The sequence below is a fragment of the Homo sapiens genome, chromosome 6, assembly GCF_000001405.40.
Source record: "Homo sapiens chromosome 6, GRCh38.p14 Primary Assembly".
Classification (NCBI taxonomy): domain Eukaryota; kingdom Metazoa; phylum Chordata; class Mammalia; order Primates; family Hominidae; genus Homo; species Homo sapiens.
Window position 1 is genome coordinate 151,376,207 of NC_000006.12, and position 27,789 is coordinate 151,403,995.

The following is a 27,789-nucleotide window of genomic DNA, read 5'->3' on the forward strand; positions in this document are numbered from 1 at the left end:
AAACTTAAATGTAAAACACAAAACTATAAAACTTTTGGGAAAAAAAGTAAGAAAATCTAAAATCTAGGGCTAGTCAAAGAGTTTTTACACTTGACATCAAAAGCAGAATCCATAATGAGAACTTGATAAACTGGACTTCATCAAAATTAAAAACTTTTGCTCTCCGAAAGACCTCATTGAGAGGATGAAAACACAAGCTCAAAGACTAGGAGTCAATATTTGAAAACTTTTGCAAACTAGTCCTTTGACAAAGGATTAGTAACTGGAATATATAAAGAACTTTCAAAACTCAACAGTAAAAAAAAATCAAATCAGAAAATATGTAATAGACTTGAAGAGACATTTCACCAAAGAGGATATACAGATGACAAGGCAAATAAAACACATGAAAAGATGTTCGAAACCACTAGCCACTAGGGAAAAGCAAATTAAAACCACAGTATCACTGTGCACCTATTAGAATGGCTAAAATAAGAAACAGTCACAACACATGGTGGCAAGAGTGTGGAGAAGCTGGATCATTCATACACTGCTGGTAGGAATGTAAAATGGTACAGCCACTCTGGAAAAGAGTTAGCAGTTTCTTAAAAAACTAAAAATGCAACTACCACATGACCCAGCAACTGCACTCCTGGACGTTTATCCCAGAGGAATGAAAACTTATGTTCACACAAAAACCTGTACAGGAATGTCCATAGCAGCTTAATTCCTAATAATCAAAAACTGGAAACAACTCAGATGTCCTTCAATGACTAAATAAACACACTATGGTATGCCCACACAGAGGAAAACTACTCAGCCATAAGAAGAAACGACCTACTGATAACGTACAACAACTTGGGTGAATTACACTCAGTGAAAAAAGCCAATCCCAAAATATCATATACTGTATGATAACACTGATATAATATGTGTGAAAATTATGGAAAGGGAGAACAGATTAGTGGTGGGGGGGGTGTGGGGTAGTGGGTGGGCATGGCTATGGAAGGGCAACATGAGGGATCCTTGTGGTGATGGGAATGTTCTGCATGTCAAAATCCCAGCTGTGATACTGTACTATAGTTTGCAAGATGTTTCCATTAGGGGAAACTGGGTAAAGGGTATATGGGATCTCTATTTCTTGCAGCCGCATGACTCTGTAATGCTCTCAAAATAAAGTTCAATTTTTTTTTTTTTTTTGAGACAGAGTTTCGCTCTTGTTGCCCAGGCTGGAGTGCAATGGCACCATCTTAACTCACTGCAACCTCTGCCTCCCGGGTTCAAGCTATTCTCCTGCCTCAGCCTCCTGAGTAGCTGGGATTACAGGTGCCCGCGACCATGTCTGGCTAATTTTTTTTTTTTTTTTTTTTTTTGAGATCGAGTCTCGCTCTGTTGCCCAGGCTGGAGTGCAGTGGTGTGATCTCGGCACACTGACACCTCCGTTGCTGGGTTCAAGCGATTCTCCCGCCTCAGCCTCCCGAGTAGTTGGGACTACAAGCGCCCACCACCATGCCCAGCTTATTTTTTAGTAGAGATGGGGTTTCACCATGTTGTTAGCCAGGACAGTCTTGATCTCCTGACCTTGTGATCCGCCCACCTTGGCCTCCCAAAGTGCTGGGATTACGGACGTGAGCCACCGTGCCCGGGCAAGTTAAATTTTTAAAAGCCTACTACACATTAATTGACTAAATTTTTAAAAAGTGAGTATGCTAAACTTCAGAGTTAAGAATGCACTGTAGATAATGCACTATCAATAAGCTTTAAAAAAAATCAAAGTAGACTCAGCAATTTTTAAAATTATTTATTTATTTATTTTTAGACTAGTCAAGTGCAGTAGTAAGGGGGAATAAAGTAGAACAAGGCATTTGATCTGTAACCAAACAATCGCAATAACTCACTATCTTCGCACCAGCCATCCACAGCAATTCTTAATCAGCAGGTGCTGGACTCCCTACTCTCCCTTCCTGCTCTAGGGATGTTCAGGCAGATTCAGAAATTAACAAATATACCCTAAAATAGACAAATGTAATGGAATAATACTTTAAGAGACTGATCAGGTCACAAATCAAGAATCCAGAATGTCAAATTTCATATTTTCTGCCACGAGTCATATCTAAGCACGAGATAGGAGAGTCATCCAATTTTGCACATCATTTGGGTATAAAGACCTAGACTGTTGTCTCATGCAAACAGATGGTATGGATCAGTTTCCCCACTACTTTCTGTGTATGCCAGAGAAGGTGAAAGCACTCAGGTTAGGAAGGAGAGGCACAGAAAAGGCATGGGGTTCATGATGAAAGCCAGAGAACTGCTGGGTTGCAAAAGTAACCTGGATTACAGAGAAACATCACTCTAACCTGACCTCCACCAAGGCATAACTTAGAAGCTTGTCTTCAAGGTTATTCTCCGTAAAGTGCCAGAATACTTCCTTTTGCATCTTACTAACCTGCTTTTCTCATTAAAAAAGTATCCTCTGAGACCCAACTGTGATATGCTCCCTGCCATGTCCTCTGACTCTGATCATGCTGATCATATTTAGGCAGCTTGAGGTCCCACAGCTTCAGGTGTCACGCTCATCAACAGTAGCTTCAAGTACAGGAAAACATTACTATTTATCCCTTGATGATAATGATAAGAATTGTTTCTTATGGAGTGCTACTATTGGCCATCATTTACATATGCTATTAATTTAATTTCACATCAACTTGAGATATTTGAAGTATTGCTGCCCACATTTATAAACGAGGAAATAGGGTTAGAGAGGGTAGGTGGCTTGCCCAAGCTTATAGAACCAGTACATTCAATAAGTAGGCTTTAAACTGGGATTCACTTGGTTAGTTGGAATGTGCTACATGACAGTGTGTTTGTTTTAAATTAATATTATTATTTGCTGCTGCTTTTAAGTACATATACTTATTATAAAAGATTCAAATATTATGGACACACAAAATGTGAGATTTTTCTATCCACCTCTACCGTAACTCTTTTCTCCGTACTCTAGTTAATACTTGGTATTCTTTGCCAATATGGCTTTTTTACTTTGTATGCCTTTAATAATGAAGTAAAGCTTATTTTTACATTTATTGACCATTTGTATTTCCTTTAGTATCTTTTCATGAGCTCTGCCCATTTTCCTATTCGATTGTCTTTTTCTTACCAATTTAATAAAACCAGGCCAGGTGTGGTGGCTTATGCCTCTAATCCTAGCACTTGGGGAGGCCAAGGTGGGAGGACTGCTTAAGCTCAGGAGTTCAAGACCAGCCTGGGCAACATGGAGAGACCCCCATCTCTATAAAAAATTTAAAAAATAGCCAGGGATGGTGGCACACACCTGTGGTCCCAGCTACTCTGGAAGCTGAAGTGGGAGGATCACTTGAGCCCAGAGGGTTGAGGCTGCAGTGAGCCATGTTAGCGTGCACTCTAGCCTGGGAAACAGAGTGAGACCCTGTCTGAAAAAAAAAAAAAAAAAAAAAAAGAAAAAAAGAAATCTATAAAACTCTTTGTATATAAGGAAAATAGGCCCTGTGTCACATATGTTCTAATAATTTTCTCACTTTCTTTGCATTTGTTTATAGAGATTTTGACAAACACAATTTTATGTTTTAATGCCATCAAATTTGTCAATATTTTATAGGAGGATTTTGAGGTTTTGGTTTTTACATGAATGGGTGTATATTATTTCCTTCAATATAGCAAACTATATGGCTCCCTCTCTTTCCACAAACGGACTAACATAAGCATTCTATTCAGACCATAAGAATGAAGTCATGATAGAAACGCTCAATATTTTTTAAGGGAGTCTACCAGTTATTTTAGAATCTCAATTTAGGAATTTAAGAGAGTCTACTAGTTATTTTAGAATGTCAATTTAGGAACATCCCCTAGATCAGGAAACACACTGAACATAAGCATTCAAATACAGAGGAAAGAATACATGCGCATGACCAGAGAAATGAAAAAAAAAAATGAAAAAGCAGAAAAACAGAACAAGTCGCATGTTCAAAATTCACGAGGGGGAAAATTCACACAGATCAACTTGAAAAAAATCTTCTTTTGGAGACCAAAAAACCTTTCTCAAAAAGAAAACCAAAACCAAAACCCCTAGACTGTTCCATATGTGAACTGCCTGAGGAAATGGGGCAAAAGGGTGGAGAAGGTACTATGGGCTCCACCCTGGCCCCTGCCCAGTGACAGTACTGACTTCTCTTAAATCTTTCTTTCCTCTTTTCTCATCACGGCTTCCCTTCATACTCATTTCCATGAGGCTTAACTGGCCCAAAATACGCCAGCTAGGGCCCTGGCATCCTCGTGGATGGCTTGGCTGAGGCCGCCCCTCTTTTGTGGGAATGGCTGTCTGCTCTTCCCACCTCCAGGCCAGCTCCCGCCCGGCTCTGCTCACCAAGATCACCAAGGACCTTGTTCCCCAGCCTCAGGGACTCAGTGGCTTACTCAGCCTCTTGGCGGCATTTTGTACTCTTCCTCCCGCTCTGATAAATCTTTGGTCTCTGGTTTTCAGGCTGCAGCTCTCTGGTTTTCGACTCACCACAGGCTGTTCTATTTTAATCCCCATCCAGGGGTTCCACTTGCTGGTCTCCTCTGCGCCTGGTCCCCAGCCTACTCCTCATTCTGTAGCCTCTTTGGTGATCTCTTTCACTTCTCCTTGGCTGTCCCCCAGGAACCTTAAACTTGATTTAGGTAAAACTCAACTCAATACCTCCCTGTCCTCTCACTGCCATTTACCCCAAAGGACAATAAAAACCAGGTACACAAATCTGCTCCCTCTTTATTTCCTGGCTCAGTGCAGGGCCCTGCTTCCACCCTCTGGCCAAACCAGAAATCTCAATTCATCCTCAGGGCTCCATTCTCTTACTCCTCACATCAGCCCCCAATTGCCATTAATTGAAACTTTACCCTCCTGCCACACCTTTAGCCTCACCTCCCAACTCATCTCTCCATCTCCAGTTTTGGCCTCCTTCATGCATCCACCACACAACAGCCAGAATGACCTTGCGAAAGGGCAAACCTGATGTCACCTGCTTAAAATCCTCCTGTGGGCCGGGCACAGTGGCTCACGCCTGTAATCCCAGCACTTTGGGAGGCTGAGGCGGGCAGATCACCTGACGTCAGGAGTTTGAGGCCAGCCTGGCCAACATGGTGAAACCCCGTCTCTACTAAAAATACAAAAATTAGCCTGGCATGGTGGCGAGTGCCTGTAATCCCAGCTACTCAAGAGGCTGAGGCAGAAGAATCACTTAAACTTGGGAAGTGGAGGTTGCAGTGAGCCAAGATCATGCCACTGCACTCTAGCCTGGGTGACACAGAGAGACTCCATCTAAAAAAAATAAAAAATAAAAATAAAAATAAAAATAAAATAAATAAATAAAATCCTTCTGTGGTTCCTTACTGCCACTAGGATAAAATCCCAGTGCCGCTGCACCTCTTCCAGGGTCCTGCACCATCTAATAGTTGCTTACTCTGCATCCCATACTCTGGTGCTAACCTAAACTAATGCTTTCCAGGCTTTCTGATTTCACAGACGTACTAAAAACAACAAACCTCTAAACTAGGGTCCAACAGAGTGTTGCTCCCTCTTTATTTTGCCAGCAAAGACACAAAACATTCACAAACCTGGTAGGCTCTTACACATAAATACACAGAAATGACACAGTATCAGTATTATCCTCCCAGAGGAAGGGCAGGTGGCACTATATTCAATGCAGTCATACCTTGCTTAACAACAGAGATACGTTCTGAGAAATGCATCGTCAGGCAATTTTGTCATTGTGCGAACATCCTAAAGGTACTTCCACAAATCTAGTTGGTATAGCCTACTACACAGGCCTAGGCTATATGGTAATCTACTGCTCCTAGGCTACAAACCTGGACAGCATGTTACTGTACTGTAGGCAATTATAATCCAATGGTAAGTATTTGTGTATCTAAACAGCTAAACACAAAAAACTTACGTAAAAATATGGTATTATAATCTTATGGGACCATTGTTGTACATGTGGTCTTTCATTCACTGAAATCTTATTATGGGTACATGACTATGTATGAAAAAATACTTTTCTTTTTCCTTTTTTTTAGATGGAGTTTCGCTCTTGTTGCCCAGGCTGGAATGCAATGGTGCAATCTCAGCTCACCACAACCTCCGCCTCCCGGGTTCAAGCAATTCTCCTGCCTCAGCCTCTAGAGTAGCTGGGATTACAGGAATGTGCCACCACCCCTGGCTAATTTTGTATTTTTAGTAGAGAGGGGGTTTCTCCATGTTGGTCAGGCTGGTTTCGAACTCCCGACCTCAGATGATCCACCCGCCTCGGCCTCCCAAAGTGCTGGGATTACAGGCATGAGCCACTGCGCCTGGTCTTTTTTTTTTTTTGAGACAGAGTTTCGCTCTTGTTGCCCAGGCTGGAGTGAAATGGCGCGCAATCTTGGCTCACTGCATCCTCCACCTACCCGCTTCCCCCAGCGATTCTCCTGCCTCAGCTTTCCGGGTAGCTGGGATTACAGGCGCCTGCCACCATGCCCAGCTAATTTTTGTACTTTTAGTAGAGACGGGATTTTACCATGTTGGCCAGGTTGGTCTCGAATTCCTGACCTCAGGTGATCCACCCGCTCGGCCTCCCAAAGTGCTGGGACTATGGGCGTGAGCCACTGGACCTTGCCCTGAAAAAATATTTTTCTAATGCAAACAAATTACAACATAAAATGTTACTTTAATACATTAAGTTGTATCTAATTTTTTTTTTTTTTTTTAGATTGAGTCTCACTCTGTTGCTCTGGCTGGAGTGCAGTGGTGTGATCTCAGCTCACTTCAACCTCTGCCTCCTGGGTTCAAGCAATTCTCTGCCTCAGTCTCTCAAGTAGTTGGGATTATAGGCACCCACCACACCTGGCTAATTTTTGTATTTTTAGTAGAGACGGGGTTTCACCATGTTGGCCAGGCTGGTCTTGAACTCCTGACTTCGTGATCCACCCGCCTCGGCCTCCCAAAGTGCTGGGATTACATGCGTGAGCCACCGCACCAGGCCTGTATCTAATTTTTTATATGGGGTCTTGCTATGTTGCCCAGGCTGGTCTTGAACTCCTGGGTTCAAGTGATCCTCCTGCCTCAGCCTCCTGAGTAGCTGGGACTAGAAGTGCATGCCACCTTGCCCAGCTAATTATATGCAATTGTCAGTTTGGTGAGCTCTACGAATGGATCATCAAGGGTCCAGCTTGTTTTGAAATACAAGGATTATTAAAAATTCAGTTTTATTTGAATATATTGATAATGGAGACAAAATGATGTTATTTCACTCACTTTGGGACTTCTGGATAAGCTAAGCTAAGCCAAGGAATGGCAGTTTCGTCTCCCAGAAGGTCCTGAACACCCTGGTGATGATTTGGCTCCTGACAGCGTACAATACTTACTGCTCAAAGGCTTCACTCTCGAGGCTGGGCAGCTTGGCAGCCTGAACTCTAAAGGGTTAGGGGAGAGGGGTCCCATCTGCACACAGGCTTAGAACCTCTGCTCCAGGATTTTGAATATGCTGCTTTCAGAGGAACTGACCATGAGACAGACAGACAGACAGGCAGACACACACACACACATACCCCTGCCCCTGCCCCTGCCCCTCATAATCTCCTTGCCCTGGTGCATGTGTGAACGAGCCAGTTTATACACCTTGCCTGATGCTTCTGGAAAGCTGGCAACAAATCTTCCTCATCATTTACTATTTTATCCCAGTGCCTTGTATATGGCCTAGGGTTTAGTATTTGTTAAGTAAATTAATAAGCAGATGCTCCGGGAGAAGAAGAGTGCTGAGTTCCAGTCAAGGCTCAGCCTCTTACCAGCTGGGTGACTGAGGGTAGAAGTTGAGTTTCTAGTTATCCTAGATTGACCTAAAAAATTCTCATCAATTTAACACCTGCTGTTTTGGAATAATTTTTCCATTTAAAAATACTACCTTGTGTTTCTTCATGCTAATAATTAATTTCTGAATAGTGCTTTATAATTCACAATAACCCGGAAGGGTAGAGAGCCAGAGAATAACGAGGATGGAGACAGACGTCATGTTAAGGATTTTGGTCCATATCTTAAAAGCAATGGGAAGCCACCCAAGAGGATTTTAAGCAGGATGACTTGATAAGATCTCTACAATGTAGAGACTGCGGAACTAATCAAGCTGGGGAGGAGGGGGTAACAAGCGGGCAAGTGAAGACCTGCTGGAAAGTGGTCTAGAGGAGACAACTGCTAGTGGTCTACAAAAGAGATGATGGACCCAGGTGGTACTGAGAAAGATGGAGGAAATTGACAGGATTCAAAAGATATTTAGAAGGTAAAAAATCAACAGACCTGGTTGAGTCAGATGAAGGAGAATGGAGCAGATCAAAGTGTCCAAGATGACTTCCTAGACTTCTTATTTGTATAACCGCATAGATCTTGGTGCCCTCCAACAGGAGGGAACACAGGGCAAATAATAATTTGGCGGGAAGAGCAAGAGGTTAGGTTCACACATGTTGGGTTTGAGATACTTTTGAGATAACCAAGTGGAGATGCAGAGTATATGTTGGTTACACTGGTCTGGAGCTTGGAAGTCCTGACTGTGAATTGTCTGCGTCTTCAGAAAAACCATGTCCTTAAATCACTACACTGTAGTTGAGAGAGGTTAAAATTATCAACAAATAAGAGTCAGGATTGAACTCTGGTCTTCTGGGCATACAGTTCATGTTGTCTCCACTCTACTACCTTGCCCTACAGAGCATTCCTAAAAGTTCTTACTGATCGCAGTCACAAAGGGCCGACAATCAAGACATGAAACTGAAGACCTATGTAAAATCCCTAACCATTTAACACTGTATATGAACTTAAAAAAAACCCAACTAAATAAAAAACAAGTCATTTGTCTTTTCTAAATTAGAATAGTGAGCTGAGAGGAACTGAAGAAAAGTAGCACAGGAGAGAGGAGGCAGTGCCTATAAATGGGTTTTCATGGAATGCCTTCTTTCTGTATATGTATGTGTACAAAGCTTTTACTTTTCTTAAGTAAATTCAGAGACTATAAGACATACTCATGTTGAAAAAATAAAAAACACTTCCTAGAGCCAAATACAAATGACCTTTCAGATTATTTAATGCTTTGGTTTTCATTGCCACTGTTTCCTCCTTGATAACAGGACATTGACCACCTAGCTGTCACTTGCTTTCAGTTTTCATCACAGAGCACATGTGGGCTGATCCGTAAGCAACTCACTCATCCTTTTAGAAGTGCAGAAGAATGGGGCACATACAATTATGTTGTATTTTGACAACCTAAGTTCCTCCTTCATTTTCAGTGTAAGAATAGGAGATCAAAACAGCTTGTGGAAATTGTTGATTCAGTTTTTAAAGATAATAGCTGTTCTAAGACACTAAACACCACTTACACTACCCATTTCAAGGGCACTAAAAGGGTCCTCTGAAGTCCTTGATTTTATTTAAGTGAAGCATAAATGAATATTGTAATTCAAAGGACAATCAGTAACAGCAGAGGCATTACCCACAAGTAAGATTGATTCTTTCAAGTAGTTTAGACCACTTACTAGGATGAAAAGCTGATTTTTCAATTACTATTATTAATAATTAATATTGGAGGGCCCATGAAGTAAACCTGAAGGCTGGTCATTTGAATTTTAATACATTTTAAAACTGTATTTTGAAGGTAGAAAATGCATCTTATTTAGTTGTGATAATGGAGTGGCATTTTTTTCTTAACATTTCCTTAGTCAACCTTCTTCCATAGTAATTAGAAAAGAGAGAGGCATAAACAGCACTTATTTTCATATTAAAAAGCACTGCATTTGTAAAATACTCCTGTTTTCAATTATATTTTCCCTATGTTTACACTTAAATTAGTTTTTAGTTTCCAAATGTAAGTTGGGGTCATAAGGAGGCAATTCAGGGACATCTTAGGTGTCAAACAGAAGTAGATCAGAGATTTATGGCTAATAACGAGTTCATATTAAAGTAATAATTCTAAAGGCATTATGCTACAATCAACCTGAAGGAAACTTACAGATGATTACACACGGCAAAATTAAAAAATTAATCTGGGCTTGGGACAGTGGCTCACCCCTGTAATCTCAGCACTTTGGGAGGCCAAGGCGGGCAGATCACTTGAGCCCCGGAGACCAGCCTGCGCAACATGACGAGACCCTGTCTCTATAAAAAGAAAATTAGCTGAATGTGGTGGCATGTGCCCATGGTCCCAGCTACCAGAAGGCTGAGGTGGGAGGATTGCTTGAGCCAGGGAGGCTGAGGCTGCTGTGAGCCATGGTCATGCCACTGCACTCTAGCCTGCATGAAAGAGTGAGACCCTGTCTCAAAACAACAACAACAAAAAACTGATCTGCTTCTAATAATCCACCAGAGTGGAGATTGCCTTTGTTTTTTATATACCATAAAATGATTAGTAAAATTAATCTGAAGAAAATATAATCACCTAAATGTGTAGTTCAGGGTATATAACACAGGTGAGTTTCAAATGTGTTTAACTCAAAGTCTTAATAATATGTTTCAATATTTTAGAGCAGAGCTTCTGAAACTTTTTGGTGTTGGGATCCCTTAATGGTCTTAAAAATTATTAAGAACATCAATTATATGTTTATATGGATTTTAACTACTGATAATTACCAAAATGGAGAAATTTTAGAAATATTTAATTCAATTAAAAACAATAAGGCCATTACATGTTAAAGTACAGAACATTTTTATGAAAAAATAATTGTATTTTCTAAAATAACAAAGTGGTGTCTTTTTATATTTTTGCAATTCTCTTTAACAGAAGACAACTGGATTTTGCATTTACTCCTCAATTAACTCTGTTTTGGTTGAGTAGTGAAGAAAATCCAGCCTCACCCACCTATGTAGTTGGAAAAAGGAGATATATTTGAATAGCCTTTTCAGGTAATTGTGGACAGTCCTCTTTTATATTATACCAACACTTGACAAGTCTACTTTCTTAAAAGTTGGTTGTGTAATATAAAACTACATAACTGAATTAACTTTTCCTACTCTATTATAGTAATATTCATTGGTCTATCCACTTTCAACGGATCATTTACCCACTCATGATTTTTAACATCATCTGTTGGTCATTTGGAAAATATCGGCTCACTGAATTAAGCAGATCTTCTCAGTGTCAACACTGAGAAGACATTTTGTCAACACAGCGGAAAAGGCCATAACAACTTAGTATTACTGTGACAACAGTTTTGACTTCATTGAATCCTGAAAGGATCCTGGGGCTTCAAAAGGATCTGCAGACCACACTTAGACAAGCGCCGTTCAGAATCACTTTGGGGACTCAGAGAACCTAAATGACTCTCCCGGTGCAGGAGAACATGCGCACTTCATTCCAGAGGATTCTGACGCTTACCCTGCTTGGTGCAGAACTTAGCGAGTGCCCCCTGTTTAAGAGAACAGTACACTAAAATCTCTAACAAAAGTAAAAAAGTAGTTTCCCTAAGTACTTAGCCAGATACATAAAAGTATTTTTCAAATTCCTATCTTTGAATACTGAACTTTCTTAAAGTGACACTCAAAGGCATGTGATGCATACCTCAAGCATGTGAACTGGGGGTTATGAGTTTGAGCATAAATATGAGCCTCCAAGTTGGCTTCTAAAATGGATCTACATATGTTGGGCTGCCAACTCCTTGTAAGGGTTCTGTGGCTACTGATTCCATATCTTAATGGCTCTATCGGCATTGTAAAAATACTGAATCTTATTTACTATCAATTCGAAGTAATATTTTAATTATTTAATAGTTTAATTTGCTAGCACAAATTATAACCTACTTGAGCATAAAGAACGTTTTAGAAATATTCTTAGTCTAATGCTTAGAATGTTTACATTTTTTTTTTTTCTTCAGGGAAATAAAAATGTTCAGTTCCCTTTTAGGTTTTCAGTCATGTTTGGAGAGCCAAAGAGCATAAGAAAATAGGAAAAGTGATGATAAATGACCTTTCCCAGGTGCATTTGGTATTTTATGGTAAAAAAATTACCAGCAAACCAGTTCTTTCAATCTTCCTCTCCTGTGCAGGCTGGTGCCACGGGACTTGCCCAGCTTTTCCAAGTTCCTACAGGGAAAGGTGAGTGGGGCTAGGAATGAAGCACCAAGAAACAGTAAGAGCTGGAAGGGCAGTTCCCACCTCTAAAGCTGCTGATCCCAGGCCGATGCTACAGATGAGCTTTAGATATTTCCTTCTCTATTTTGTAAGTCTCAAATTGGGGAAAGCACATCCACTTACTCATGGGCATGCTGTGGGTACTTGAAATCACAGGATTGCAAAGTATATCTATGGGGTTGGGGTGAATACATTTTCTTTTCTTTTTTAATAGAGATGTGGGATCTATGTTACCCAGGTTGGTTTTGAACTCTTGGCTTCAAGCAATCCTCCAGCCTTGGCCTCCCAAAGTGCTGGGATTATAGGCGTGAGCCACTTTCCCTGGCCATGAACACATTTTTCTATTATTTTATATTATCTTATAAAAGTGCAGATTTTGGAGGTTACTGAAAAGTTGATATTAAAGTTTAAGATATAAAAGCAGGTGTCACCGTGGCAGCTTTTATTCTATAACTTAAAACATGATTAGCGTTTATTCTCTGCTGCTAGTGGTAGAGATTGCTCAGCATCAACGTATTTACATCCCCTTTGAAGAGAAGCTTTAAAACTGGCAAGTATGCACTGGGACTGTAGGACAAAGTTTTAGGGGCGTAGACTACACTCCACTGTAGTGTAGACTGCTCCTCCACTGTTGACCATCAGTGGCACCGGCGTATCACTTCTTGTACTTACGATGGCTTCAATAACTGGACAATTCTTTGTCTAGCAAACAAACCACAAGTTTATTAAATGAGAAATGCCCAGTTTAAAAGGATGTCCTATTAGTGGTAAATTACTATGCCTTTAAAAACTGCCTTCTTGTCCAGGAGCGGTGGCTCACCCCTGTAATCCCAGCACTTTGGGAGGCCAAGGCGGGAGGATCACTTGAGCCCAGAAGTTCAAGACCGTCTCGGGCAACATAGCGAGATCCCTGCCTCTTACTAAAAGGAAAAAAGAAAAAAGAAAAAAATGACCTTTTAACAGTTTGAAAACATCCTGGATACACAACAAGATCATTCAAAATGCAGTGGAATTTACCTTACCAATTTATAATTTTGGTTTGTGATAAATCAGTCAAATGAGAATTAAAATGGCACAGTCCCAATTCTCTATTAAACGTTCAGGGTACTCCCACACTAAAACGCTAGTGGTGTGTACAACTCGCCCTGGTGCTCCAACGGGGTTGGCATAGATGGATGATTTACATTAGCAAGGACAGGGCAGCGCGTTTAAGCAAACCCAGAGACCCCCTGGAGTTCTGATAATTCTGACCTTCTTTATGCTTTATTTTACTAAAACAATACCCTGATAAAATGAATAGAATCAAGGCTCACAAACTCAGTGGACCCATTGTATGATGAAAGAGCTAATGAACAATGCAGCTGGGGGAGGCGGGGAGCGAGAGCCGGGTTATATCCCCAAGGCATAATTAGGAGTTCACGTATTCGGGTGGAAGTTCCTGCAGTAAAAGGCGTAGCTGCAGCTTCTCCCGGCCCAGGCACTCGCCTGCTCTGCTACCCTCGCTTCTTTATTGCCTCTTTTACTACCAGCTAAAAGCGGCAAAACCCAGCTTCCTTTGCAGCTTCTGGCTAAAAAGTTCTCTCTTGCGGCTTTGTTTAAACAAGAAGGGTTTAGAGGTTTCGCTACACCGAGAAAACGACGCCGGCCCCGGGAAGCAGCCTCCCCGCCTTGGAGTCCGGTTGGGGCGTGAGGGCCGCGCGGGTCCCACGCCCCAAGGCTAAGCAGCCGAAAGCACAGCGCGCTCGGGGCCAAACCGGGCTGTATCGCAGGCGCAGATGGCGCGTCGGGCGGAAGCTGGAGGCCGCCGGCTCAACACGCTCCGTACCCGGGACTGGGGCCCGGCCTGCAGCCTCAGCGAGCAGGCGACAAGGGCGGCGCCACAGAGGCCGACGCGTCCCCCGCCCGCCTGAGCGCGCCGCAACAGCCACCTCGTCCCACCCGCCCCGGGGCGGGGCCGGGGGCGCGGCGCCGGGGCCCTCTGGCCCCCTCCGGTCTCGCCGGCCCCGCCCCCTCCCTGTCCCCGTCCCCGAGGGGCTGAGGGGGAGGGAGGGGCGACGCACTCCGGCCGCGTTGCACGCTCGCCGCTTCCCTCAGTCCCGCGTGCGCGCGCGCGCTCGCCCCAAGTCCCGCGGAGTTTAACACAATGCCGACGCCTACGCCGTGCGCAACGCCCCGGCCGGCGCAACAGCCCCGGCGCCGGGGGCGGGGGTGGCCCAGACAGGGAGAGAGGGAGAGGGATGAGCGCGCGCGAGAGCCGGAGACAGCGCGAGACCCGAGGAGGCCGGAAGCGCGCGTGCGCGCCCCCGCCCGCGAGCGGGAGGCGGAGCCGCAGCAGTAGCGGCAGCAGCTGTAGGAGCCGCTGCAGCTGGGAGAAGCGCCAGAGAGGCCGGGCCTGCTCCGGTCGGACCGGATCCCTCCCCTCCCCCTCCCTCCTCCCTCCCCTCCCCCAAACCCACTTCCGCAGCTCGCGGCCTTGCCGCCGAAGCAGCAGCGGCGGCAGCAGCAGGAGGCGGCGGCGAGGCGTCGGAAGGATTACGCACCTGACGGGCCCGCCTCTGAGGGCTCCAGCGCGGGACGCTCACCGGCCGCCGCCGCCCAGGGCGCACTTCGCGGTGGCGGCGGGAAGGGAGGGACCGGCCACGGGGAACCGAACGCGAATCGCCCCCCTCCCCTTCCTCCCTCCCACCCTCCCTCCGATCCGCCGCCCGCCCTCTCGGCTTCCGTCCCCTCCCCCTCCCACAAAACCCCGGATGGAGGCGCCGCCGACTCGCCGCCGCCTGGCTCCGGGGGATGGTTTTGTCAAGCGGCCAGAGCCCCGGCGCCAGGCGCAGCCGCCGCCGCCCCCGCGAGGCGCCCCTGCCCTCGCTTCCCAGAACCGGGTCCCCGAGTGGCCCGGGCCTTCCGCCTGCCTGCACCCGTAGCCCTGGTACGAGGGTCATTCGTCGTCTTTGTTGCCACCGCCTCTGCCGGAACCGTTTGCGAGCTCCGGTGGCCCCCGCCCCCCCACCGCCTTCCCGGACCCTGGGCTGGGGGTGGCACGTGGGCACCGGCCCCGGGAGGCGGAGGCGGTGCGCGCTTACCTGTCGCCGGTGCTGCTGCGGCGGGGGGTGTGGAGGAGGCGCCTCTGGGCAGCCTCGGCCGTGCTGTCCTCCCCGCCGCCGCCGCCTCTGCCTCTCGCTGCTGCTGCTGCTGCTGCCGCCGCGGTCGGTGTCTCCGGCGCGGCGGCGGCGGCGGCGGCGGGGCTTTTCCTGTCCGGTTACGTTAAGGTCACATGACCGAGAGAGCGGAGAGACTAGTGCAAAGAGGCTGCGAGCGGCTCCCGCCGGGGGGGAGAGGCGGCGAGAGAGCAGTGGCGGCAAGAGCCCCCTCCGCCCCCCCCCCAGCCGCTCCCCTCCCCCCGCCCGCCTCCGCCTCCTGCTGCTCTGCCGCCGCCGCCGCCGCCTGCAGCACTCCACTGCCGCTCCCACCCAGGCTCCGCGCTCTGCTCCAGCCAAACTTCTGCAGACCATGTGCAGCCGAGGCGAGGAAACTTCTCTCCACCTATTGGGGCTGGAGGCCTGAGTCACAAGCCCCTTGTTTACATAAAGTGTTTAGGTAGCACAAGTCCTTGAGATGCTCGGGGTAGAGATGGAGAGCCACTGCTCGTATCCTTCTGCCGGCTTCTGCTTGAGATCTCTTGGCCTTTACCCTTGTCCCTTGACTTTTCGTGTTTGTTTTAATCTTTAAGACTTGAAATGGAGTGGCCTTTAGAACCGGGGAGATACTGTAAACCAGCAGTATCTTTGTGTCACCAATGGTAACTGAAAGTCATGCTGAAGTACAGATTCCTGTAGCGTGCACAGAGGCAGAGGTGCTTCCTTTACCTTGCAGATGAGTTGAGCGGCGTAAGATGTTTCTGTTAGGGTTGAATTTCATGGTTATTTCAGCAACGATTTTCGTTTTTGAAGTTTTGGCCCCCCCAAAAATGAAAGTCTGCAACGCATGTTTGTTAAGAGAACAGTTTATTCTCCTGTTAGGTTTTGGTCTTTGAGGTATGGATTCCAGAGTTGGCTATTCTGTTAGATTTAGAGGTGTGGAAAATCTTTTAACGGGGAGATCCTGAAACACGGAAACATGGCAGGGAAGTTAGAATTTCCTGATGGTCATTTTTAACATTTTAAAGTTTACTTTTTGGTTGTTGCCATTTTTCTAGAATCCGTGTCTTTTTTGGGGAAATACAGTCCTTTGAGGACTAGAATTTAATGATTTCTTTACACATCTAGGATTTTTTGAGATTTAGAAAGGATATGGCTTTATTCCTAAGGAAGTGGAGGCAGCAGTTTCTAGGATACTCTGGTTTCAAGGCATGCTAACTTGGTTGTGATGTCTAACCCATTTTGGTTTACACAGTCTGACCACTAGCACAATGCCTGGCACATAGTTTACAAATCATTTAAGGCAAGCTTACCATCTTAAGACAATTTAATACATAGAAGTGTCCCTCCTAAAAATCTGAGTTTGATTTAGAAATCCAGTTATACCTGCAGGTACTGATGACTAATTCCTTCTTTGAAGACAAAATAAGCAGCTGTGTAGCTTCAGTGGCTCTCAAATGGATAATAGATTCAGTGTATACTCGCTTTGAACTTTCCTGTTTTTTGATCAGCTAGATAAATGACTTTAGTGGGTAAATGTCTGCCTCCAAAACCAAATTCTGACCCTGATCTAAGTATTCTACTGCACCGCTGTCACTGGAATATCAAAGTTGGCCTTCAGACTGGTGCCTGGTTCCTTGGATTGGCTTGAGTATTGAGGTCTGTCTCATCTTACTAGGGAACTAAAATGATGTTGATTGTTTTGTAGAGAATTGTAATTAGAGATCTGTAGGTTCTTAATTCTTTTGGAATTCCATTCTGAAAATTTTCAACCTTATGGTGTTGGTGGAGTGCTCATGTGAAGAGTGAAACTGACTTAAGAATAAAAGAAAAAGTGGGCAAAACTAATGCTAAACTTGAGACCATTGGGCAGAAATTTGCCTGTGTGTGTAGAGTAATTGGTCTTGAGTCAAAGTAACTATGCTTATTTTTAACATCACTGAATATTTTCTAGCGTTACACTCTATATAGGCTTGTAGAAATAAACCCAGGGGTAAGCCCAGAAATTGAATATCAGTCCTAAAGAAAGCCTATCAAGAGCATCCTATTCTCTTTAAGAGCTGCTATTCGAATTTAGGACTGGGCTGGTTTGCTGCTCATTCTCTCGAGGCATAGGCAGCCACACTTGAATTTTGCCAAGTATGCAGATAATTCCAACTTGTAGTCAGGATCATCAGGTAATAGCATTATAAGGGGAGCTGTACAGACTGTATACTTTCTACAGTTTGTTGAAATAGAAACATTTATATGGATACATACATCTGCAAAGGTTAGGGAGAAAACGGTAGCCCTGGCAGAGAAGAGCTAGTTAGTGTATTTCAGGATAGGGCCAAGGGAAGCTGTCATTTCTCTACTAAGTCTCATTGTGGAAAAGCCACAAATGTCCCTAGTACAGTAATAAGGAAAAAAAGGCTGAGCGTGGTGGCTCACACCTGTAGTCCCAGGACTTTCGGAAGGATTGCTTGAGCCCAGGAGTTGCAGATCGGCCAGGACAATGTAAGAAAACCCCATGTATTAGAAAAAAAGAATTAGCCAGGCGTGATGGTGTGGGTCTATAGTCTCAGCTTGGGAGGCTGAGGTGGCAGGATCGCATATAGCCCAGGAGTTCGAGGCTGCAGTGAGCCATGATCGCATCACTGCACCCTAGTCTGGGCAACAGAGTCTCTAAAAAGGAAAAAAAAAAAAAAAGTTAAATCGCTGTTTAATTATGTGCCAATTTATTTTGGTATTTTGAGAATCTGGTAAATTAGGAATTCAAAAATAGTTTTAACACTTTTTACTTCAAAGAAAATCACAGTGCAAGCAATCTGAGTGGATTCATCAAAAGTTATACATGAATATTCTGCAGAGTCTGGTGTTGCTGAAAGTTTTGATTTGTGTTCTGCTGAGACACAACCATGAAAATATGCACTTGCTTGTATTCCGAAGAGGATAGTTCCAGTGAGACTTGGACAATGAGCAGAAAAAATTTTTTTTTGAGACGAGGTGTCGCTGTGTCGCCCAGGCTGGAGTGCAGCGGCGCGATATCTGCTCACTGCAACCTCTGCCTCCTGGGTTCAAGCGATTCTCATGCCTCAGCCTCCCAAGTAGCTGGGACTACAGGTGCCCGCCACCACACCCGGCTAATTTTTTGTATTTTTTTTTTTTTAGTAGAGACGGGGTTTCGCAGTGTTAGCCAGGATGGTCTCGATCTCCTGACCTCGTGATCCACCCGCCTCGGCCTTCCAAAGTGCTGGGATTACAGGTGTGAGCCATTGTGCCCAGCTCAGAAAATTTAATAGTACTAGATCTCGTGTGTGTGTGTGTGTGTGTGTGCGCGCGCTTAGGTTGAAGGTGGAATTTAACATTGATTTAAAAAAAATAATAGTAGGAAAAAATAAATGCGGTTTGAGTCCAAAGCAGCATTTTTCACTAATTTTATGAAGGAAGTCCTTTTGAGTAATGTCTTAAATTAGGAAAATGGCGTACTTTTACATGTTAGACATTAAACTCTAGGGCAGATAACCATGCCCTGTGTGTTGTGTATCAAGCTTAGCATATACATAGGAAAAGATGTATTGTGAGAGTGTCTTACATTTCGTTGGTTTGGTCATAAAGTTTATAGAAAATGCTTGTTTTATAGTTGGTTGTTATTGAGATGAGAGTCCCTCAAGGAACTCCCTATGCTTTAGGGAGCTTTTTGTTTTAAACCTACTGGTTAGACTTGTGGGTTTTAATGTTTTCAGCTGTGGTTGTAAGAAACACATTTTAAATTGCACCTAGTATAGACATACATGTAAAACAAACAAAATTTTTACGAAGTAGTACTTGTATTAAGAGTGATGTACTCTGCTATCTTCTATTTCATTTTTTTAAAGTTGATATTGCTGCCTTAAATTGATTTTTTCAACCACTAATGAGTCAGGACCCACTATTTAAAAAATACTGGTGTGTTCTCTTGCTGTTACGAATTAACCCAAAACTTAGTGGTTTAAAGCAATAAACTTGTGTTTATCTCATGTAGGTTCTGTGGGTCAGGAATCTGGGAGTAGCTTACTTAGGTGGTTCTGGGTCAGGGTTTTTCATGAGGTTCCAAGGTGGCTCTCATTTGGCAAGTCAGCTATGGCTGATGGTGGAAGTTCTTCATTGGACTGCTTGAGTGTCCTCAAGCAGTGGCGAAGGCTAGCTACCCGCAGAGTAGGTGATTCAAGCAAGAGCAGAGAGGAGGCCACACACCATCACTTCTGCCATATTCTATTAAAAAGAAGTCACTTAAGTCCAGCCCAAACTCAGGGGATGAGTATCAAAGAATTATGGACATAGTTTAATAGCTGCCACATTTATATGTTTTTCCACTTTATATTTTATTTATTTATTTATTTAGAGATGGAGTCTTGCTCTGTCGCCCAGGCTGGAGTGCAGTGGCGTCATCTCAGCTCACTGCAGCCTCTGCCTCCCGGGTTCAAGTGATTGTCCTGCCTCAGCCTCCCTAGTAGCTGGAATTATAGGTGCCCCCTACCACGTCCGGCTAATTTTGTATTTTTAGTAGAGATGGGGTTTCACTATATTGGCCAGGCTGGTCTCGAACTCTTGAACTCAGGTGATCCACCTGCCTCAGCCTCCCAAAGTGCTGGGATTTCAGGCATGAGCCACCACCCTGGCCTGTTTTTCCATTTTAAAGATGAGTTAGGATTGCACCAAAAGCCATGCTGAAATCAACCTATAAGTAATTATCTTAGTTAATTAAGTCAGTTTTTTTCTCTGAGGGCATCTAGTCACACTTCCTTCTCAGTCTTCAATTTGAAAAAGCAGGCTCAAAGAATTTAAGTAATTAAGCAGCCCAAGGTCATTCAGTCTAGGAAAACCTCACAAATTTTCTCTGACCTTTGTCATGAATAACATGTGAGCTGATAAAGATGAGAAAATTAAGAAGTTACACTGTAGAACTGTTCGCCAGTCTTCTAGTTTGCAGACCTCCATATTATAATACACTTTAAAATTCAGATAATGCTTGGTGTCTAGATTCCTCATACTAGCACCCCTCCTGTTCATTTTTAGAGGAAACAGGAAATGTACTTATTAAATGAATTCAAACTACTTTGAATAGACCATTCCAGATGCTGCCTGTATACTCACTATGAGATGTACTGTGCAAACTAATTCCAATTAGCACATTTTGAGAACCCAAAAGGATGTTGTGACTTAAAGATGATGAGAATTTAAGTGTAAAGAAGACTACACTTCTTTATGCTGTGAAATTTTCATAGAAATTTTGGATCTGGAAGGATTTTGTTCTAAGACTAGTTTTAGCTTAGTGATAAAAGGAATAGGATGACATTGGTAGTGAGCGAAGGCAGGATAAATTTCTAAAGACTTCCTTAAAAATTTTTTTAATCCATTAGGCTTTTCTAAATTATAGGTTGGGATACAATAAGTTATCTTACACCTTTGCTTCACGGAATGGGCTAATGGCTACTTTTTTTTTTTTTTTTTTTTTTTTTTTTGAGATGGAGTCTTACTCCCATCTCACAGGCTGGAGTGTAGTGGCACAATCTTGGCTTACTGCAACCTCCACCTCCCGGGTTCAAGTGATTCTCCTTCCTCAGCCTCCTGAGTAGCTGGGATTATAGGCGTGCACCACCACACCCGGCTAATTTTTGTATTTTTAGTAGAGATGGGGTTTCACCATGTTGGCCAGGCTGGTCTCGAACTCCTGACCTCAGGTGTGCCACCTGCCTTGGCCTCCCAAAGTGCTAGGATTACAGGCATGAGCCACTGCGCCTGGCCGGATAATGGCTACTTAAATCATTTTTCAGTTTTCCCTTACCACTATGATTCCTGACTGTTTCTATTCTGACCTAAAGTACTGTTTGTACACAATTAATTTTGATTACCCTTTTTGCTTGTTACTTGTCTCCCTATATCTTGTATCTCTCACTCTCACTGTAAGCTCCCTGAGGGCAGGTACTTCTTTTTATGTACACTCCTGGTACTCAATTGCTTGCAGAATTGAGTTGAATTTGTAGTTAAAGGATCTAAGATGATCATTTTCCCACTCGAACTGAGTGAAAAAGGTGTTTATTGTTGCAGAAAACATCTGCGTATAGGTATTGGATGCTAGTGGTGCATATATGAATACCTATCTCTGCTCTTCAGGTGGTCACAGTCCACTGGGGGAGAAAAACACAGATACTTAGTACAATTTATTCTATACTGCAGATGTGCAGAGTGCTGTGGGTATGTAGATAACTTTAAGCTGAATCTTGGTCGGTGAGCAGGTGTTCAGAAGATAGACTTAGTGGCCAAGTGCGGTGGCTCACGCCTGTAACCCCAGCACTTTGGGAGGCCGAGGCGGGTGGATCACTTGAGGTAAGGAGATCGAGACCATCCTGGCCAACATGGTGAAACCCCGTCTCTACTAAAAATACAAAAATTAGCTGGGCGTGGTGGTGCATGCCTGTAATCCCAGCTACTCGGGAGGCTGAGGCAGGAGAAGCGTTTGAACCAGGGAGTTGGAGGGTTGCAGTGAGCCGAGATGTTGCCACTGCACTCTAGCCTGGTGACAGAGCGAGGCTCTGTATCAAAAAAAAAAAAAAAAAAAAAGATAGACTTAGTTTTGTGATGTGCTTTGGGGGTGGTGCATTTCTTAGCTTCATTCCTTTACTATACATCTCCCTTGAATTATTTTCCTTTTATCGTTGGTGAGTTACCATCATAATTTAATAAATTGTTTCCTTCTGTGACATGTACATTCTTGTCACATCATTTCTCTAGAACTGTGCTGTCCAGTTCAACTCAGTGTCACACTAGCCATGTGTGCTGAGTAGCCACCTGTGGCTAGAGGCTACCATATTTGGGCAGCACAGATAATATAAAACATTTCTATTATTGGAGAAAGTTCAGTTGGACATCACTGCTCTAGAATCATGTTTTGCTTCTCCCTATTTTCACGTTATCAATAGTGTATTGAGTTCAGAATAGAATTAGGAAACAATAGCCTCCTGATATTGTCATTGGGAGGGATAGAGTGGTTGATATTTATGAACAGAGGGGGGAGAGTGTAGTGTTTGGTAGTGGTTGAGAATATAGCCTTTGGAATCAGATCTGGGTTGGAATTATGGTCCGTCCCTTACACACTGTATGGCTTCGGGCATGTTACTGAACCTCTGAGCCTCAAGTTTTCCTTCTCAAATAGGGTTAATAGTAATTATCTCATAACATTGGGTGAACATAAAAACAGGAGGGGGGCCGTAGCACAGTACCTCAGTAAATGATAAAATCGGTATATTTTTGAAATCATCACTGATTTAAAAAAAAACCTTAGAATTATGTAGTAAAAGTGACTTTTTTTTTTCAGTATACCGTTCTGTGATTTTTAACATAGTATTTATTTGTTGTAATCACCAACACGAGAATATAGGCCAGGTCTATCACTTTATTTTGCTGTCTTTATAGACCTGTGCTGTTTCCACCCCTAACCCCTGGCTGTCACCGATCTGTTGTCCATCACTATAGTTTTACCTTTTCTAGGATGTTACATAAATGGAATTACACAGTATGTCGCCTTTGCACACTGGCTTCCTTTACCCAGCCAGATTGGGTTGAGAGCGATTTGTCCAAGTTGTTACATCTATCAGTCGTTGAAAACTGATCTTTAAAGACATTTTAATTTTGAATCATTATTTCCTAAACGTGAATCTGAATTCCTTAACAGTTCTTCAAGTAGTGTTTGGCTCAGGATTTTTGTGTTTAAAAGTAAAATAAATGGTAAAATATATAGGGAAAAATTACTGCTTCCACCTGATTGGTAAAAACCATGTGTGACATTAACATGCTTTTCTTTAGGGAAGGTTCTTGTTTTTAGTAGTTGATCCATATTAAAGCTCTGTAGAGTTGCCACAAAGTCCAGAGTTGAAAAAGGTGGCTGTTAAAATATCAGTTTCTAAAATGTGGCCGAAGATAGCGTGACCAGTCCTGGTTTGCCCAGGACTTTGCCAGTATTAGCAGTGAAAGTCTGGCCGCTCTCAGGAAACCCCTTGGTCCCAGTCAAACCCAGAATGGGACCAAGCGCCGTGGCTCATTCCTGTAATCCCAGCACTTTGGAAGGCTGAAGTGGGCAGATCACGAGGTCAGGAGTTTGAGAACAGCCTGGCCAAAATGGTGAAACCCCGTCTCTAATAATAGCCTGACATGGTGATGCACGCCTGTAATCCCAGCTGCTTGGGAGGCTGAGGCAGGAGAATCGCTTGAACCCAGGAGGTAGAGCTTGCAGTGAGCCAAGATTGTGCCAATGCACTGCAGCCTGGGTGACAGACTGAGACTGTGTCTGAAAAACAAACAAACAAACAAAACCCCAGAATGGTTGGTCACCCTATCTGAAAAGAGACACACAAAATCAGAGGATTCCAGTTCATCAGGTTTCAGTAGTGAACCATCGGCCAAGTATTTCATCTAATCTTAATTGCCTTTGGGTGCTTAGAGTCAAATCTCTAAGGTAACCAGAACCCAAACCACATGAGGTTTTTTAGATTAAGATCAGCACCTTGAATTTAAGGTTTTGTGGCTAGAGGTTTAGATTTGATTGGAATTACATCGTTAATTTTTGTTAAATTGTTGAATAAGCAACTTCCCAAGCCTTGTGTGTAGAAGCTAGATTAAAAGTCAAGTTTCTACTTAACCAGAATCTCTGTTTTGAGTTTTTAAATTCAACTGGTGATGTCTAAATCTTAAGGATATTGTAAGTTCCTTAACTAGTCTGTTCCATTTTCCTGAGTTTTCACATCACCTCTCTACCTCTTGTGTAGATTTTATTTTTTATTTTGAAACGGATTTTCGCTCTTGTTGCCCAGGCTGGAGTGCAGTGGCACCATCTCGGCTCCGCAACCTCTGCCTCCTGGGTTCAAGCGATTCTCCTCCCTCAGCCTCCTGAGTAGCTGGGTTTACAGGCACATGCCAGCGCACCTGGCTAATTTAGTATTTTTAGTAGAGACGGGGTTTCTCCATGTTGGTCAGGCTGGTCTCAATTTCCGGACCTCAGGTGATTTACCCGCCTCTGCCTCCCAAAGTGCTGGAATTACAGGCATAAGCCACCACGCCCAGCCCTAGATTTCTTTATAGAGCATCTGTCTATAAGCAGATTACTTAGTTTTCCTGATGTCTTCGTTGGAATGTAAGCTTTGTGAAAGCCAGGGGCCCTATGTGTCATCTTTACCACTATGTCTTAGATCTTAGAGCAGCCCATCATAAGTTCTAATAAGTAATTGTGGAATTGGATGAGAAAATGAATATGAGTCAGTTTTACAATGCTGCATGCTTCCCAGATTATTTTAACAGTCTAGGGGATGTGGAAAGATTTTGTTTTAAAAACGTTTAAAAGTCCACGTTTTGTTTGATATTGTTCAGAGGAAGTGAAAATGTGGTCTTTAAAAAATTTTGTTGCCCGGGTGTGGTGACTCACGCCTGTAATCCCAGCACTTTGGGAGGCTGAGGCGGGTGGATCACCTGAGGTCAGGAGTTCAAGACCAGCCTGGCCAACATAGTGAAACCCCGCCTCTACTAAAAATATCAAAAATTAGCTGGGCATGGGGGTGGGCACCTGTAATCCCAGCTGCTCGGGAGGCTGAGGCAGGAGAATCGCTTGAACCCGGGAGGCGGAGGTTGCAGTGAGCGGAGATCGCGCCATTGCACTCCAGCCTGGGCCACAGAGCAAAACTCTGTCTTAAAAAAAAAAAAAAAAGGCTGGGCGCGGTGGCTCACGCCTGTAATCCTAGCACTTTGGGAGGCCGAGGTGGGCAGATCACGAGGTCAGGAGATCGAGACCATCCTGGCTAACACGGTGAAACCCCGTCTCTACTAAAAATACAAAAAATTAGCTGGGTGTGGTGGCAGGCACCTGTAATCCCAGCTACTCGGGAGGCTGAGGCAGGAGAATGGCGTGAACCTGGGAGGCAGGCGGAGCTTGCAGTGAGCCGAGATCGTGCCACTGCACTCCAGCCTGGGTGAAAGTGTGAGACTCTCAAAAAAAAAAATTGTTTCATTAACCCTCTATGAGGGAAGGGAATTTAGAATGGTGACATTAAACCTTCCTTTAAAATGGCAATTCAGAACCAGTGGAGAGAGCTGAAAGTGAGAGTAGATTTGGATTTGGAAAAATTCCCTCTACTTCTCATACACATCACCTTCTCCCAACACAGGCACTTTGTAAAGGCATAGAGCAGGGTCTGAGGAGATTGGGTTGGTGAAAGAGAGAACTGAGTCACTTGAGATTAGTACTTGGTAAGCAAGAGAGTGCTAATGAATTATTTAAAATCTGTGTAACCTGAGTGTAAACCAATACATAGACTAAGTTAGTGCTTCTCAGAGCTTAGGGAGCATAGGAGTCTCCTGGAGAATTAGAAGAAACAGATTTTCCTAGCTCCGGCCCCAGACGTTCTGATTTAGTGTGGTGTAGAACTCAGGAGTTAGTAATATTAATGGACAGTCTTGAGTATTTGCTGATGCAACTGGTCTGAGGACCATACTTTGGAAGACCTGCTTTAGATAGTAGACAGGACAGTAATTTAAAATAGGCAAATATGGTTTATTTTTAAAATGGTAAAACTAGAAAGATACTGATTTTATGTGTTTAAAAAAAAAAGTCTGCATCTGACTGCTATGGTTATCCAAGAAGGCACCCCAGAATACCTGTTGGCCACCGCTGTTTGGTATATGCAAAAATGTGTAGTTTTTAAAAGAGTCTTTTTGGGCTTGCACTGAGGAGCCACCCTATTTTATACAGTCAAAATATTGCTATATTTAAGTTAACCATTCTGTTCCAGTGCAGGATTCAGTAACATCTATTCTGTAAGTTTCAGTTGTGATATTTCTTAAAGATTCAAAGATGGATCCTGGGAATTTGATTTAGCCTCCATTTCATCTGGGAGTTAATCCTCACAGCAACCCTGTGAGATAGGTTAATAATTAAACCCTCCTATTCACACATATTTCATTAATCCTTACAGCAACCTGAGAGATAGTTTAATAATTAAACCTACTCCACAGATGAGGAAACTGAGGCCCAAGAGGTTCAGTGATTCGCCCAAGGTTATAACAGCAAGAATTGGTGGTGAAACAAGAATTCAAATCCAGATTGGTCTTAATAGTGAGCTCTCATGTGTGATAGAAATTAGATACCACTTTGAGGACTTTGGGAGCCAGTGGTGAATGTACTTACTTTAGGCTCTAAATACTCTGTGTAATTTCTTGGTCATTTTGTTCTTAGAGAGGTGGTGATCTTAATAAAGTTTTGACTTTATTAAGTAATTAAAAGTTTTTACTTATGTTACAACTAAAACAATTCTTTAAAACTTTCATAACTTGAAGTTTTAAATCCTAAAATTAGTTGAAAAAGATGTAATTGCCAGTGTATCGTAAATACTGGTATTTTAAAATAAAGCTGCTTTATCACTTTTAAGGAAAGCCCTTGTAATTTAGTGCATTGTAATAGTGTATTGAGCTGATGTCCACCATGATCCATGTAAACATAGGTGAACTATGCAAATACAAGTTTTTCTTCTTGAAAATGTTACATTTCCTCTACAACACTTTATGCTAATAAATGTTTATGAACCTCTTTTGATGATCCTTTCATTTCTTGTAAATTTTTGTATATAACTTGAAATGTTTAATTTGCTGTAATCATAAGGCATCAAATGTTCATGGTTTTTTTCTGGACTATTTTCACATTGTTAGTACTGATTAGTTGACCAAAACAGCAAATTGCATACATTGATACTTGCAGTAAAATTTCACTGGAATTGTACCTCCTAAAAAAAATGGGAGAAAACATAATGGCTTCAATTAAAGGAGGCTGCATTTACCAATCTTCCAAATTGTCCTTTTTTGTTTTTGTGGCTTCCCAAAAGTGTTGACAAATAGGTTTAATGTATTTAAAGGTTATTGAATGTAGTGGACCAAACTATTGAGGATAGGTGAGAGACGCCGCTTCTGTAAGTGTGATAAGGGAAGATGGGAAGAGCAGGATACACTGCAGGTGTGCACACAGGTATGTTGATTTTATGAAAATTGGAACTTGATCTAGGAAGCAATTTTTAAAGTTATTTTGAGACAGGGTTGCTGGCCTCAAGCAGTGCTCCCACCCTGACCTCCCAAAGTGCTGGGATTACAGGCGTGAGCCACCATGCACATCCTAAAAAGCAATTCTTGGACTATCTGTGCCTATATGCTCCTTGGAGAGTTTTTGTGGGTACCCTTGGCATACAGGTAGGTACCTCAAATGGAAGACAGCTACTGAAGAACTCTCGCTGGAAGACATCAGATGTTTATCCTAGCACTGTTAACTGCAGATAAATATGTCCATCAGTTAGTACAGATGAATGTATTCTCTTGGTATAATACTGTGTAGCAGTTAAGTGAGTTGCAAAACGAAAGGATATGTGTGAAAAAAAAGTTGACAGGTGAGGACTATAGTGGGGCATCGGGTTATGCATAAAAGTAAGGCAATGAAGGTAAAGATTTGATTTTTAAATGTTGTCAACCCAAGGA

At 43.2% G+C, this 27,789-nt stretch overlaps 2 protein-coding genes across 5 annotated transcripts in view, besides 5 other annotated features; one reads left to right on the forward strand and one right to left on the reverse strand.

Moving 5' to 3' along the window:
- ZBTB2 (zinc finger and BTB domain containing 2) overlaps window positions 1-15,353 on the reverse strand; it is a 27,445-nt gene extending 12,092 nt beyond the window's left edge. Inside the window, exon 1 of one of the 4 annotated variants that reach the window (NM_020861.3) lies at window positions 15,214-15,353. The gene's annotated coding sequence lies outside the window, so the exon portion shown is untranslated. Of the gene's footprint in view, window positions 1-8,320; window positions 10,299-12,010; window positions 13,967-14,673; window positions 14,829-15,213 lie in introns of those variants that run through there. The other 3 variants (XM_005267076.4, XM_011536004.3, XM_047419188.1) reach the window with 3 other exon arrangements.
- Window positions 9,256-9,415: an enhancer, noted in NCBI's record as "active region_25281". NCBI's record gives its function as "activates an Ori minimal core promoter by ATAC-STARR-seq in GM12878 lymphoblastoid cells {active_cell/tissue: GM12878}" and the evidence as "EXISTENCE:reporter gene assay evidence [ECO:0000049][PMID:35858748]".
- Window positions 12,114-27,111, forward strand: LOC124901232 (translation initiation factor IF-2-like). Its single transcript, XM_047419613.1, has 3 exons — window positions 12,114-12,131; window positions 13,748-14,266; window positions 14,499-27,111. The coding sequence occupies exons 1-3, from the start codon at window positions 12,114-12,116 to the stop codon at window positions 15,396-15,398; spliced, it is 1,437 nt and encodes a 478-aa protein (XP_047275569.1). The 3' UTR covers window positions 15,399-27,111.
- Window positions 13,915-14,844: a silencer, noted in NCBI's record as "silent region_17685". NCBI's record gives its function as "represses an Ori minimal core promoter by ATAC-STARR-seq in GM12878 lymphoblastoid cells {active_cell/tissue: GM12878}" and the evidence as "EXISTENCE:reporter gene assay evidence [ECO:0000049][PMID:35858748]".
- Window positions 14,925-15,314: a silencer, noted in NCBI's record as "silent region_17686". NCBI's record gives its function as "represses an Ori minimal core promoter by ATAC-STARR-seq in GM12878 lymphoblastoid cells {active_cell/tissue: GM12878}" and the evidence as "EXISTENCE:reporter gene assay evidence [ECO:0000049][PMID:35858748]".
- Window positions 15,325-15,384: a silencer, noted in NCBI's record as "silent region_17687". NCBI's record gives its function as "represses an Ori minimal core promoter by ATAC-STARR-seq in GM12878 lymphoblastoid cells {active_cell/tissue: GM12878}" and the evidence as "EXISTENCE:reporter gene assay evidence [ECO:0000049][PMID:35858748]".
- Window positions 15,366-16,238: an enhancer, noted in NCBI's record as "H3K27ac hESC enhancer chr6:151712707-151713579 (GRCh37/hg19 assembly coordinates)". NCBI's record gives its function as "activates a minimal SCP1, AML or CMV promoter by ChIP-STARR-seq in primed H9 embryonic stem cells {active_cell/tissue: H9 hESC(primed)}" and the evidence as "EXISTENCE:reporter gene assay evidence [ECO:0000049][PMID:30033119]".

Bases quoted from the DNA above. Each gene is read 5' to 3' on its own strand.
- LOC124901232 (XM_047419613.1), top strand. The intron at 14,267-14,498 runs GTTTAACACAAT...GAGCCGCTGCAG, and splicing joins CTCGCCCCAAGTCCCGCGGA to CTGGGAGAAGCGCCAGAGAG.